General features: G+C 44.4%; 1 protein-coding gene across 8 annotated transcripts in view, besides 1 other annotated feature; it reads left to right on the forward strand.

Annotated features, from left to right (window-relative positions):
• The window catches only part of PRKCA (protein kinase C alpha), a 508,131-nt gene continuing 498,101 nt past the window's right edge, over positions 4,605-14,634 (forward strand). For all 8 annotated transcript variants that reach the window (XR_007065315.1, XR_007065317.1, XR_007065316.1 and 5 more), the window contains exons 1-2: positions 4,605-5,016; positions 8,088-8,119. Coding sequence is in view for 3 of the 8 variants with exons in the window: in NM_002737.3 (NP_002728.2) it covers positions 4,844-5,016; positions 8,088-8,119 (205 nt within the window). In the remaining 5 variants the exon portion in view is untranslated. The remainder of the gene's footprint in view (positions 5,017-8,087; positions 8,120-14,634) is intronic.
• Positions 5,399-5,900: an enhancer, noted in NCBI's record as "H3K4me1 hESC enhancer chr17:64299525-64300026 (GRCh37/hg19 assembly coordinates)". NCBI's record gives its function as "activates a minimal SCP1, AML or CMV promoter by ChIP-STARR-seq in naive H9 embryonic stem cells {active_cell/tissue: H9 hESC(naive)}" and the evidence as "EXISTENCE:reporter gene assay evidence [ECO:0000049][PMID:30033119]".

The raw sequence follows: 14,634 nt of genomic DNA on the forward strand, positions 1-14,634 counted from the left end.
ATGATCCTCTCACCTTGGCCTCCCAAAATGCTGGGATTATAGGCATGAGCCACTGCATCCAGCCCAGATATTTTAAATGTATATTTATATATAATCTTTTTAAAAACCCATACATGCTAACATTCTATGCACATTTCTGCATTTTGCATTTTCACTCATACATCTGGAAGATATTTCTATATCAGTACATATAATTAAAAAAAAAAAAAATCTCATTTTTTAAACAGCTGCAAATAATTCTAGCAAATGAATGCATAATTGATCTAACTAATCTCCTGTGGATAGACATTTAATAATTGTTTGCTACTGGAGTCAGTGCTGCCTTTATACATATGCCTTCATGTACACGTGCGTTTATATATGCAAGATACATTTATAGAAGTGGAAGTGCTAGGATTACATTTATAAAATGTATCAACCTTTTAAAAGTACATGCATCAAAATGTTTGATACATTTTTAAATGACAATTATTGCCAAATTGCTCTGTATCATGTCTGTGTGCGACAATTTACAATCCCGCTAATGATGTATGAAACCATTTGATTCTGTACACCCTTAATGAAACAGTGTGTTCCTTACACTTTTTATGTGTGCCCAACTCTTAGGTCACAGTGGGGTTTCAATATGATCTTAATTTACATTTATCTTTTTATGAGACATGTTGAGAATTTTATCATAGGAACTATTTGTATTTCCTTTTCTGAGAACTATCTGTTCACGACATTTGCCATTATTTTTTCTTGGGCTTGTTATTCTTTTTGTTCTTGATTAATATCTGGTGGGATATTTATTCCTACTTTTTTTTTCATTTGGACTGTTGAATTAGCTTGTTTACTTCTAAAAAAATTCTACTTTCATTGGGCTAAGTTACATTTATGGTTTAATTAAGAAAAACTGACATTTCAATGTCTCTTCCTGTATGAGAACAGGGCATATCTTTCCATTTATTCAAGACATAAAGTGGGTTTAAACAGGTACATTTTTAAAAGATGGCTACTTGTGGAGTCCAAATTGAGAAGGGCAAGAACGAAAGCAGGAAGACCAATTAAGTGGTCCTGCAGTGGCCCAGGAAAGAGATGATAGTGCTTAGGCTAGGGTTGGGGGTGGATAGATTTGAGATCTGTCCTGGAGGAAGCACCAATTAAACTTTCTCATGGATTGGATATGGGAGTAAGACCAAGGGAAGAATAAGGATGATGCCTAGGTTTTCAACTTGAGCCATTGAGGGACTAGTGATGCTGTGAGATACAGGAGACAGAAAGAGATCCTAGAAGAAGGCTTGCTTAGAAGCAAAGTCCCCAAGCCTCAAACTCCAGGGAGGCTGCCCACAGAAGCTCTTTCAGTGGAGACACAACCAACTGGAATCAATCAACTGTAATCACAACCAACCAGGGCCTTCATTAACCCATGTGGTACCTTGGTGTGAATTTAAAAATGGTGGCTTTTCTGGGAAGACAGAGGCCCAAAGGTACACTTGGCAAGGAGTATGCGAGTTGAGTTTTAGCCCCTACTTAGTCTCTTGACTGGGAGCTCCTGTGCTATGAGCAACCTGCAGGACCAGACCTGGAAGCCTTGGAACTAACCTCTGACTGGGGCATCTGACTCATCCACTCCTATACAGTACTACCCTGCTCCTTAAACTTACCCCAAAATGGCCCCTGACTCTAGTGTTCTGCTACTCAGGTAGATCCTCACCTCTACCTGTTTAGAGATCTGCCAGTTACAGTGAATCTGACTGCTGCCTGCTTACGCATTTCGGCAGTTGCCTTGCCTCTCCTAAACCTTGAATATGGTGCATAGAATAAAATATAAGCCTTAAGTCATCTTGGTTACCATAAATCTCAGAATGATGCTTTTTCGATACTTATGCAATTCCTATTGCCCAATTTGAAAATGTCCTGGTTCATTTGAAAACAGTCCAGTTAGCTGCATAGAGCAGCAAGCTGTAAATTGTATCTGAAAGACCGCTGGCTTCAAACCATTGGGATTCTGAGTCATCTGTTTGGTGGTCTGACTTTGATCCCAGCCTCCAGCCTCTGGGTCCCCCTGGTCTAGGTGACACCTCTCCAAACAGTGTTGAGCTTACTCCTCAAAGGCAGAGGACAGAAGCGGATTCTGAAAAACTCTGCGTTCAGTCTGACATTCCCTGTTCTTTTCCCGCACCTTCCCCATGAAATAGCAGACTCGAAAATAAAATTTACTCATGCCCTCATGACTGACTGACTACCCCCAACCCAGGGGGTTCTCCCGTCCTTAATCTCCTCCATTTTAGTTATACCATGGGGACTTCAGGTAGGCTGCAGGAGTAGATGCTGGCCCACATTTCCATCAGTCCTTGCTAGGGACAGTGTTACACTGCTTGGTAATTGATAAATCCCCACTCTGGGTGCACAGTCCCCTCTCCCCAACTGAGCTAAGATGTGGGCTATTGATGCTTTCATGCCCAGCCCAACCATGAATCAGTTGACTTCCAGTCAATCATTCCTCCTCGTACCCACCAGGAACAACACTAACAACTGAGGCAAGAATGCAAAGCCACAACCTAAAAGAAAACAGACACATTGTTCCATCTGATCTACTGACAGCTAAGACAGTCACTCCATGGAGTACACAGGAGATTCGCAGGCTGCTGCCAGGGCTCATTCTGTTCTTGTCTTTCCTATGACTTTACTCAGGATTCCATTATCAGCAACTTCACCCTCCAGCTCTCTCCATCCTCCTATGAAAGCCTCAGGGACATAGAAATAAGCTTGTCTTTGTAAAATGTGCCAGGATCTCCGTCTTAGATAAAAGACGACTATGAGAAAAGAAATTATTTCATTCCACTATGTTCCATTTGATTTCTGCTTTCAAGCAATAAACCACCATGGCTTGAGATGCTTCTAGTGTTTCATGGAGAATTGGGACTATTTCCCCAACATGCCCTGCTCTTCATTCCTCTTTGCTTCTTCCCTTTTTGACTCCTTGGACCCGAGGGGCGACCATGAGTGGCGAAATTTCTGACCAGCTAGAATACCAGGCAGGTGCAGGCTCTTGAAGCACCAAGACTGGCTCAAGAGATTGTAAATGGATCAGTCAAGTGCATGCACCACTGACGGCCAGTCAGGAGAGCTTCCATTTGTTAAAAATATAAAGGACATTCCTATCATCAAGCATCACAATTAGGCAATCTCAAAGAAAACAATATTAGCTCTACTTGGCCTATGTTACATGCTCTAAGAAAGTATTTTAGAAAAGTTTTTTTTTTCAACATAAATTTATTGAAGGATCAAACGTGTTCTCTTTCTTGGTCTCTTTAGCTCGTAAAGTCGTTTTGGGGATTTCGTGAATCTGGCAAATAAAACAAAACACCAATGAAACGCTGAGAAATGATTATTTCCCTTATGTATTTTAGCGGCCTCCAGGCAGACCTGATAAATATTCAGCGAGTGATTAGCTGGTGCATCCCCACCTGCGTCCTTTGCATAGCCATGCCCGCTACTCTTTCACAGGCAGTTTTACTTGGTAAGTTACAAACGTACTGGCTGCACTCTGCACCTGACAGTATTGCAGTAATTAGCTTGGGATGCAAAATGATTTCTAAATTAAGGTCCTGGACTTGTAAAATCAAGAAAGCCTGATAATCAACATCGTCGCTCTGGTGGCCATTGAATAACGGGATAAATACCTAAGACAAGTCCTTTAACCATCCCACGTGGTGATAAATGCCCGACGTACAAATTAAAAGTCTCTACCACACGCAGGTGAAATAAGGTATAGGTCAAGAAGAGAAGGTAGGGGAAAGGGTCAATGCTTAATTATTTAAAAATCGCTCTCTTCCTCCTGTAGGAAGGTCTAGGGGCTAGGTCTTTTAGTGCACACGTGATGAAAGTGACATTTTGGCCAGGTGAAACCTCAAGCTGGTACAGGCAGCTAAAACACGGGCGTCGTGCCCTGGAGACACCGGGGGTCCTGAGGATGGGGAAGGGGCTCCCTGCTGCGGGTGCTGAGGGGTTAGGAGGTGAGCACCGGGCGGGAGGCTCCGGGGCAGGGGCTGCGCGTGGAGCCCACTCCCGGACGCGGGCTCCTCTCGGCCCGGCACGGGTGGCGCAGGACTCCGAGCCCGTCGACAAGAGAGAGAGCGGGAGTGGGAGAAGGAAGACCGGGAGAGGAGGAGGCCGGGCGGCAAGAGCGGAAGAAGAGGAGGAGAACTGAGGCGGAGGAGGGCGAGAGGGAGGAGAGCCGGGCGCAGGAAGGGGAGGAAAGAAAAAGGCGGCGGAGGAGCGCGGACCCGCCACTCCCGGCCTCCTCCCCCGCATCCCCACTCGGGCCGGCCCTCCCCCGGCCGCCGCCGCCGCCGCCGCCGCCGCCGCCGCCGCCGCCGCCGCCTCCCCTTGCCCAGTGTTCCCAGCACCGCAAGGCACTCGCTGCCTCCTCCGCACTCGGTCCGGTCCGCTCAGCGCCGCCGCCGCCGCACCCTCGCCGCACCCCCGCGCGCGCCCGGCCCGCGCGCCCCCGCCGCTCGTCCTCGCGGCCTCGCGCTCGGGGCATGCGCGGTGGGCGGTGCCGCTCCGGGCCGCCTCTGCCGCCGCGAGTAGGAAGCGCGAGCGCCGGGCACCGGGCTGTCAGTGAGCCTGGGGCCAGCGGGCGAGCCAGCGGCTCCGGCTCCCGCTCCCGCTCCGCGCAGCACCAGCCCGACTCTCCCCGGCCCCCGCCGCGCCCCCTCGCCGCGACCTCGGCCACCGGCCCGCGCCCCGCGCCCGGGGTCGCCCCGAGCCCGCACCTCTCCCCCGCCGCCCCCGCCCACCCGGCCCTCCGCGGCCGCAGCTCCCCGGCGGAGGCAAGAGGTGGTTGGGGGGGACCATGGCTGACGTTTTCCCGGGCAACGACTCCACGGCGTCTCAGGACGTGGCCAACCGCTTCGCCCGCAAAGGGGCGCTGAGGCAGAAGAACGTGCACGAGGTGAAGGACCACAAATTCATCGCGCGCTTCTTCAAGCAGCCCACCTTCTGCAGCCACTGCACCGACTTCATCTGGTAGGTGCCGGGCCGGGCACTCCTGCCCCGCTCCTCCCCGCCTCCGGGTCCCGGCACCCGGCGCTCCGGCGCGTCCGCCCCGGGGCTGGCTCACTCCGATAACTTGGAACCGGCGGGAGTCCGAACTCTTCGCCCGGAGTGACACGCGCGCCCGGCCCTGACACCGGCGGGCAGGACTCCCGGGACGTCGCCGTCCCGCCACACACACCCCCTGGCGCGAGAGGGAGGCTGGCCCCGTACGGTGGCGAAGGGGATCCCTCTCCGGGCCGGGCCCCTCACCTCCCCGGGCGCGCCCACCCGCACGCACCCAGCGGAGCGGCCGCTTGCCGGGGTGTGAGCCCAGGGGACAGGGGAGGAGGAGAGGCCCTAAGGGGGCAAAGGTTCCCGGAGAAACGCGCCCCGGAGTAACGGGGGAGCGGCGGCGATTGCACTGCGCGCGGTCCAAGTTGCTGGCGAGCCAGGCTGGGCGCGTTCGGGGTGGGGGGGTTGTGTTTGTGCTTCCCATCGGGCTGGACTGCGCTGGCATCTTGGGCCCCTGCCTACTGTAGGCTGCATCTACTGGGCACGGAGAGACTGACTTTTCTGAGTGAGCAGAGAGAGAGAGAGCAAACTGTTGAAAGCTTGCAGTGGGGGAGGGGGAGTTCTAGCAGGCAAATGGCACAAGGGCAGAGGGACTCATTTAAAATAGACCCTGTCGGCCAGGCGCGGTGGCTCACGCCTGTAATCCCAGCACTTTGGGAGGCCGAGGCAGGCGGATCACCTAAGGTCAGTAGTTCGAGACCAGCCTGGCAAACATGGTGAAACCCCGTCTACTAAAAATACAAAATTAGCCGGGCGTGGTGGCACACGCCTGTAATCCCAGCTACTCGGGAGGCTGAGACGGGAGACTCGCTTGAACCCGGGAGGCGGAGGCTGCAGTGAGCCGAGATCGGGCCACTGCACTCCAGCCTGGGTGAGACAGAGCGAGATTCCGTCTCAAAAAAAATGAAACAGACCCTGTCAACTCGAGATTAGACCTGTAACCCTGTTGATGAGGGCAGAGGCCTTATTTAAGAAAAATAATATAAGGGCCAGAGGTCAGAGATCAGGTAATCGCCAATGAATTCAGGCATTCTTAACTCGGAGGGTCCCTGGGGGCTTATGGAGAATCGATACATAGAAGGGCTTCAGGGGTCTCTGAACCCTGTAAAACTGAGGGAAATTGTGTTTGTGAATCTTTTTCCTGGTGAGAGAATTACAGCTTTCATCTGATCCTCAAAAGGTGTGTGACCCTTCTTCCCAGATCCCCGTCACCACACAAAAGTTTTGAAAGCTGGAACTAAAGGAGCTCTAGGTCCTCTAGTTAGAGCAGCAGTAGTTTGGTTTTTCTTTTAAGTTGCCCGACGTCCTGACTCTTCTACCTCTTCTTTGTGGTGTAGGAAGTTCCGGGCAAGACAGAGCTATGGCTAGGGCTTCTTAGCTCCCTCTCCTTCTAGGCCAGGGGGAGCTGCACAGGGTGGCAGTCACGGAGTGAATCCTGCCACCAGCCAGCTGTGTGGCACAGGTATCTTGGGCCACTAGGGTGAGCATAGTATGGATGGCTCTGTCGGAATCCATCACACCTGGGGAAAAACATCCCAAAGGGCAGGTCCCATGATCGTGGTGCGAATAAGGTGTTTAATTTTTCCTTTCCTTTTTAGACATCTGCTCCCAAGTACACTTTTATGAAAAGCACAGCCACCTCTATGAGTGATTTCCACTGTCTAGTCGGCATATGAAGCGACTGTGCTCAAAGGAGTAGGTAGTCGTAGATAAGGCTATTTAAAATAAAAATTTCGGAGCATCAGGGCAAAGAGAATATTGCATTTGGTTAAGAGGAGGTCAGCTGTGAGAGTCCATTAAAAGGGAACAGACTGCTGGTGACTTTTGCAGGAAGTAGGAGAGTTAGAAAGGGACTTGCAGCATACTGAGGCTAGCTATTGTCTTTCCACTATCAGTTGCCCTTGAAGGATCAGCCCCTGGTGAGCTGAAGAGGCGCTCAGGTCACCACCAGTATTGTGAAGTGGAAAATGCCCCCCTGAGGATCCCTGCAGCACTCTGCATTTAATTGTAAACCAACCAATTGGAAGTCCCAGGAAACCATCCACGGGGATTGTCTTTTTCAGTTTGCTTTCATTATTGCTTCTACGGGGTCCTTGATTTACACGTTTATTTCAATATTAAATCACTGATATTTTTAAGCGAAATGTTTAGAGTTAGATATGGTTTTTAGTAGGGGGGATGACTCTAAGTTAATTTTAAAAGTATGTGAAATACTTTGTACATGAAACATTCTATGTGAAGCAAGAGATTATGACTCTCAACCTTCCGAAGAAATTTTAATGCAGTTCATTCTGGTAGAACAATACCTGCAATTGAACGTCCACGTCAGGGTTCTCTGCTTACAGAGTAAATTCTCTAAAGTCATGTACAAGAACAAAATAGCCTCCCTATGTGCTTTGAATGCTATTGGTTCTCAGTAGAAATTAGATCGTGGTCATCTCAAATGCAAACAATAGGAATTATATTTTCTAAGATCTGGTTTCTTAAGCCAACATTAAATGTTAAAAGTGATGCCGTTTGGCAGTTTCTAGACATGTGATATTTTAAACAAAAAGAAGCCACTTTGTTATCTTTAGGGAGATAAAAACAATTTTCATTTGGTCTTCAGGAACAAAATAAGCAACTTCCTTTTACAATTTTAACCATAAACTGTTTTGTTACTTGAATATTGTGTTGTAGCCAACAAGTTTGAATATACAGTCATGTTCTTGTCTTGAAATTTTAGTATTGATAACATAGTATAAAAAATTGGAAAAAAGGTTGATACATCGAAATAGTTCAGTGATCCTTTATAGGCAAGATTTTTTTCCCCCCAAGGTTGAATTTACACAGTAATCTGACTAGATATTTAGGTATGTTTTTTTCTATTAAATCATTGGGTTTCACATACAAACCTTTAGTGGTAGAGTACTTGGTCACATAACTTGTTTAAAATATGCTATCCAACAGAAAATATGTTAAGATATTTTGTTCTTGTTTTTGTTTTTCAGGGGGTTTGGGAAACAAGGCTTCCAGTGCCAAGGTAAGCTACCACTTTTGGTTTTATTTTCAAGCACAACATGAAATAAGCATTCCAAACAAGAACATTATTTCCAGTCATATTTTCTTTCCAATAAAAAAATGTTATTTAGATAATTTTGAAATATGAGGGCTGTAAATTTGGGCCTTAAAAAATAATTGGGGCCTACTAATCTGCATATAGAGCTGCCTTTTTCTCATTGGAAAAAAAAAAAAAAAGCCTTTCTGTAATTTTATTTTTTGCCGAGAACATTCTTGTCAGAAACTGCTGTCTTTGTGTGGGTGTTGAGAAAAAAATGGAATCACTTTGTATTCAAGTGGCTTTTCTTCCTTGTTCTTCCTCTTTGTTTTTATTCTTCATCGCTTTTACTTATGTATTGAGTTGGACTCACTGCAACTAATTTTAGGCCGTATTTCATTCTAGTAAGGGTTTGTTTTGTTTAGAATACCAGTTGTCATCGAGAACAAAGTTTGCATGTTTTAAAGTTTTGTTGATGATTTGATGACTGATTTCTATGGTATGACTATGTAGCATGCTTTCCTTTCAGCTTACATATCTGACAAAACGTGATATCAGCCATCACATACAGAAAGAAATCCATTTGCTTCACCCTCTGATCTGTAATTGCATTTCACACACATCGAATATCTAACTTTTTGTACTCTCCATTCTAATTGTTTGACTTTTCCTTTTTGAAGAAACCCACTTTAGAGCTTGTGAAGGCATCACAGGCTCATTAGCTAACTTTTCTGGCTCTCCTGCTCATTGTCTATATTGTGTTTATTTAGTTCTGGTTCCATTTCCCATCTGGGCATAGATTTATTATTAGGGCAAGCAGAAAGTACATTCTAGCCTGGAAAATATTATCCTAACACTGTTTAATATTAAGTGCATTAGAGAGAAAGGCACTGTGTACTTTTTTACAACTTTGAGATTGTGCTAGTAAATTGGTTGCCTTTTAAAAACTAGTTCAAATTTGTGAACTTGTTTCTTGTATACATTTTCTAAACATATTTTAGATGGGAGTATTTTATGGTATGATTATTCATTTAATATTCTACCTTCCTTTCTCCAAGATGTGCTTAAAACCCCTACTGAGTGTATCATTTTCAGAGTTGCATTTGAAAATCAAGGGATATTCCTTTTAAAAAGAGAAGAAAGAGAAAGATGTGTTATACCAGTCTCTACAAAAGATGAAAGGAAAATGTAGCTCTTTCTAGTTCTCAAAGTTGTGGGCCTGAACTTTATGGGTGAGATTTGAGCCTAGGCTTGAACATGACTTTAGGGAGTTTAAAGATGTAAGGTTCTGGGCCAATGTGATTGACATCTGTTATTTTTGGTGATATTTTTCGTTTGGGTGGGGACTTACATAAATCTATAAGAAAATTTTTGTACTGAATCTTCTCCATACTGCTTGTCTGGGAGAAAGTGGTTGTCTTGTTCTAAAACTTTTATCATTTTCTGCATAAATAAAAAATAAGGTTGATTAGAATAAGGTTGGTTCCTCTTAGACCCGCTCATCTGAGCAGATTTTGTGGAAATCACAGTGGCCGTATTACTAGGCTCTAGGGGGTTTTGCATGATTTCCCCCAGAGCATCTCTTGAACTTTTAGTGGATTAGCAGATTAATAGTTTCATGGCAACATAACTCCCTTTTACCTAAATTAAAAAAGTGAAACCCATAAAAATTTTAAACTGTATAAAATAAAAAGTGAAATTGCATATGCTTCTCTTTTCCCTCCTCCAGAGATAACTTCTGTTTGAGACAACCATTCGTTCACTCACTCACACATACTTAGTTTTTAAAAGGAGATCAAAATTTTATACGACTTTGCAACTTGCTCTTTTCACTCAGCAGTAGATGGTGGATATTCTTCCACATCAAAGCATCAGTTCTGCCTTACTCTGCTTAGTGGCTGCATGTGTGGATGTATCCAATTTATTCACCCATTCCTCTATCAAGGGGTATTTTGTAATTCGTTCTTACTAGTACAAATACCTTTGTCAAGAGCATTATTGGACACTAGTATAGGTATTTCTACAATAGATAGCCAGAAGTGTGTATGTGTGCATCTTACATTTTAACGGGTGCTGCTAAATTGCTCTTCAAGAGTTCCAGTGCACATTTTTTTGTATTAATGGGACTTCCTCTTCATTTTTACCAGTGAAGATATCGGGTAATATACATCTTTTACATTTTTTACCAATCTGGTAGGTGAAAAGGGGCCCCTCTTTTAGATTTCCATCTCCTGCATTATGGGTGAGCTTGAACTTTTTTTTTCAAATGTGTTTTAGCCATTTGTGTTGTGTGAATTGCCTTACTCTACCTAATATTTGAAACTCTGGATTTACAAACCAGACAAATTAGAGAAGTGACTATGTGCTTTCTATATAGTTCTTTGCTTTGGTGAAGAATTTAACCTCAGATCTCTTTAAATAATGAATTACCCTAGTGCGTTTACAAATTACAGTTCACAGAGACCTTTTCCAATAGTATACATTTATTTGTAACATGCTGTCTGCTTGTTATATTTTGTTTACTGTGTCTCATCTGTATTTGACTTCTAGTAGGCATATGCTAGTCCATTGTATTTTATTGTTTGTTGTAACTTAAGAAGGATATGTTACCTCAGGGTGATGCTTTTAATCCCACAAATATAGTTACCCAGCATTTTCTGTTTTGGCTCCTACCGCAAAATTAATCTTTCTATTAACATCTGACTATCGTAGAGTGAAGTTTTCTTTTAATGCTCTCTAATTTTGTTTTTTTTTTCCTCGGTTTTGTTTGATAGAACATCATTCTTCTGCAGGAGAATAACTCATTCTCATTCATACCTTTGGCAACACACTCTCTGGAAATGACAGCTGGAGTTTGAAACTGCTTTTTGTATTCCTCATACATCAGATTATTTTTACCCGATGAGGCAGTGCTTTCTGTCCACTAGTATGTAGTATGTTGCTTTGGTTAGTAGGTAAAATATCTGCAGCAAGCATAGTTTTTCTTTTTTTAACTAGAGGGGTGTGTATGCTCCCAGTGACTCACATATTCATGCAGTAAGTAATATAGCTTTAGATCCAAAATATTTATCTTCATTTTACTTAGTAAATGGTGAGTAGGTATTTGAAGACTAAAGAAATAAGTGAGTTTTAGTCCTTAAAACTGGGTTTGTAATTTATGCCATTTAGAGAATGGCATCTTACAAGCATGTGAAGTACTAAAGTTATTTCTACTTTCATTTATGTTGTATCTTGGGGAAGGGAAGGGCGTTTCTCTGGAGAGACTTATTGGCTTATTCTCATGTTCCCTTCATGGACTCTGTGCCATTCTTCTTTATATTGCAATATAGGTATACAATCCTGAAAACTGATATTACCAGGGCAAGTAACACAGGATCCCGTTGTCAGAATTTGCTGCCTGAAACGGTGAAACCAAGGGCCATTCTTCTGGGGAGGAGAAAGATGAGTGTGTAGTAGATTTCCAAGTGGGAAATACTTTTCTTAAGGTCCTCAGAGATAAAGACAAGCGTGTTCCTTCACAGCTCTGAAGTGACCCTTTTTACATGACTTGGAGTTGCCTTCTTATTTTTGGTTGAATGTTTTTTTGCTTGATGTACCCCTAGCACTCATTTCATCTCCATAAAACTAGCAGAGATCTAGTCCTTGCCCACTTTTTTTTTCCCCCGTCAGAGAAAGGAGAAGAAGACAGGAAGTAGATTTGTGTGGTATGGACATTGATGAAGTTGAGTTTCAAGTCTGGAAGGTCTGTTTCCAGTTGGTAGTTTCTGTCTTGCACTGGCTACTTCCAAAGTCAGTCATCAGAGAACAGAGCGATCCACTGTACTGCTCAAATGCACTCTTTCTCTGGGGCAGTGGAGCTGAAACAGTGTTATCCACTGCTTTCAGTACTGGAAAAGGGAAAGAGCCAACTCGATTTTTTTCCCCCTCCTTAGGCGGAGCAACACCCATGCACTTCTCTAATTACAGTGGTAGAAACAGCCTCTCAAAATGTGACCTGCCTATTTCAAATGCCAAACAGTTAACATAGTTTGTTTCATCTGCCTAACCTCCACTTGTTTTCTCTAATTTTTTTTTTTTTTTGCTATTCTTTGTCTTTTAATATCACAAATGAAAATGTGCTACAAACCTAGGCTCTTTGATGAGGTGAAGATACTCAAGAGACAGCGTGAGAATTAAGCTCTGTCAGTAACCATGACCAACAGGAGCCTGTTGTCCCTGAATGATCGTCACTGGATTTTGAGGGGTCTGCTGGGAAAGAATTTACATTTTTGTGCTTTCAATGATGCTACTAAAGTTGTTTTGAATCTTGAGTCATTTCCCTGCTAAGAACATAACACATATTGTACTTCATCTGTGACTTCAACTGAAGCTCTGCATTTTTCAGTGTTAAGGGTTAAAAAATCAGCTACTCTTCCCCTTTGATATTTTGTTTTGAAGGCCTGTTTCAGAGAAGGTATTTGCATTGGCTCATCTGAGCAGGGTGGTGATTTCTATTCCTTCTGTAAGAATGAAAGTTGGTGTTTAAGGGAAGAAAAAAAAGAATGAGTCTCCTCTTGGCTGTGTGAGCTGAGGGATTCCAGAAAACAAGACTACTTAAGGAAGGTGGCCTTTAAACAGAAAGGGGGCAGTAGCGAGTGAGTCACCAGCCTTTCAGAAAAGGGATGCGCCGTTGTCCTCATCCGCCACGGTGTTCTGAGAGCTGAGTTGTATGGACACCAAGTACCAGGAGATAGGAGACTGAGGTACAAGTTGGGTGGAATCATGAGGTAGGCCAGATTGAGCAGAGGATCTGTCTGTCCTCCCTATGGCCAACTTGAGCAGAGGATCTGTCCTCCCTATGTACTGCATTGACCGCTGCTTGCACTGTGTGGCCTCTGGCTGCCCGCTGGTTTTCAAAGTTAGTGCCAGGGTTTTCCATTATTCTGTCTTCAGGAGGGGTTCAGCCCTTGGTACCTCAGTTTTGATTGGTTACCCATCCCCAAATTGTAAGTTATGTTAATTAGAGATAAACTCTTGGAGGTTTAGTTCCAAAAAGATAGAATGCATGGAAGACTGAGTATAATTTGAAACCTAGAGTTTTTGTAGTAATGCCAGGTCAAAGCATTATCTCAGTCTCAAAGATGAAATGGTCAGTAATGCCTGAATTACAGAGAAAAGTGGTGGAGGTGGACAGTTAGAACTGCCTTTCTGTGGTTGGGTGCAGTGGCTCATGCCTGTCATCCCAGCACTTTGGAAGGTTGAGGCGGTCGAATTGCTTGAGCCCAGAACTTTAAGACCAGCCCGGGCAACATGGCAAAACCCCATCGCTACAAAAAATAGAAAAAGTAGCTGGGCATGGTGGTGCAGCACCCGTGGTCTCAGCTACTTGGGAAGCTGAGGTGGGAGGATCACTTGAGCCTGGGAGGTCGAGGATGCAATGAGGTGTGATCGTGCCACTGCATTCCAGCCTGGGCGACAGAGTGAGAGCCTGTCTCAAAAAACAAAACCAAACAATAACAAAAAATGCTATTTTTCTTTTCAACAGTGTTTTTCCTCCGTAAAACTGCATTAATACTTAGAAGTAGGGATGGTTAGATAAAACTAGTGTTGAGTGTTCCCATTTGGTGCTATATACTTGTTATAAAATGATTTCTGATTAATGACTTTCTGAATTGCTACTCTTTTACTTTATACGGTAAGTGAAAGTGTTTCGTTAATTTATTCACACATCAATCCTACCCCCGCCACCAGAAGCTGGGGTTGTAGCATATGGAGAGGCTATTTATCCTCATAGGTCGTGAAAGCCGAATAAATGTTTACTTTTGCAGATAAATCTGATGTTTGAGTTTCCTTTTCTTTATATTATTTTATTTTTTTGAGATGGAGTCTCGCTCTTGTCTCCCAGGCTGCGGTGCAATGGTGCAACTTTGGCTCACTGCAACCTCTGCCTCCTGGGTTCAAGCAATTCTTCTGCCTCAGCCTCCTGAATAGCTGGGATTACAGATGCATGCCACCATGCCCAGCTAATTTTTGTATTTTTAGTAGAGACGGAGTTTCACCATATTGGCCAGGCTGGTCTTGAACTCCAGACCTTAGGTGATCCTCCTGTTTCAGCCTCCCAAAGTGCTGGGATTACAGGCGTGGGCCACTGCACCCAACCAGAGTTTCCTTTTCTTTACATTTTTTGGTGGTTTCCTGCCCTCCGAGTATTTCACTCTCCTGGATGATACTATTGAAATTTAAGTTTTTAGACACATTAACTCCTCACTTGCTCAATTGTTTTTCTTCATGCAGATTCAGAGTATTCCATTTCCAAATAGCATTAGTTTCACAGCTGCCCTATCAGGATAAGTCCAACTCCTTAGCAAGACATTGGAAGACTCTTAAAGTCTCCTGCCTGACCTCTTCAGACTTACCTACAATGCTTTCCTTCTTCCTATCCCTGGGTCATTGTGAATAAGTTGCAGTTTCCCAGAAAGTGCTTGTTTCAATTCTTTCCTCAACCCCGTTTGCCCAGATGA

Source organism: Homo sapiens, chromosome 17 (assembly GCF_000001405.40).
Source record: "Homo sapiens chromosome 17, GRCh38.p14 Primary Assembly".
NCBI classification, from domain to species: Eukaryota; Metazoa; Chordata; class Mammalia; order Primates; family Hominidae; genus Homo; species Homo sapiens.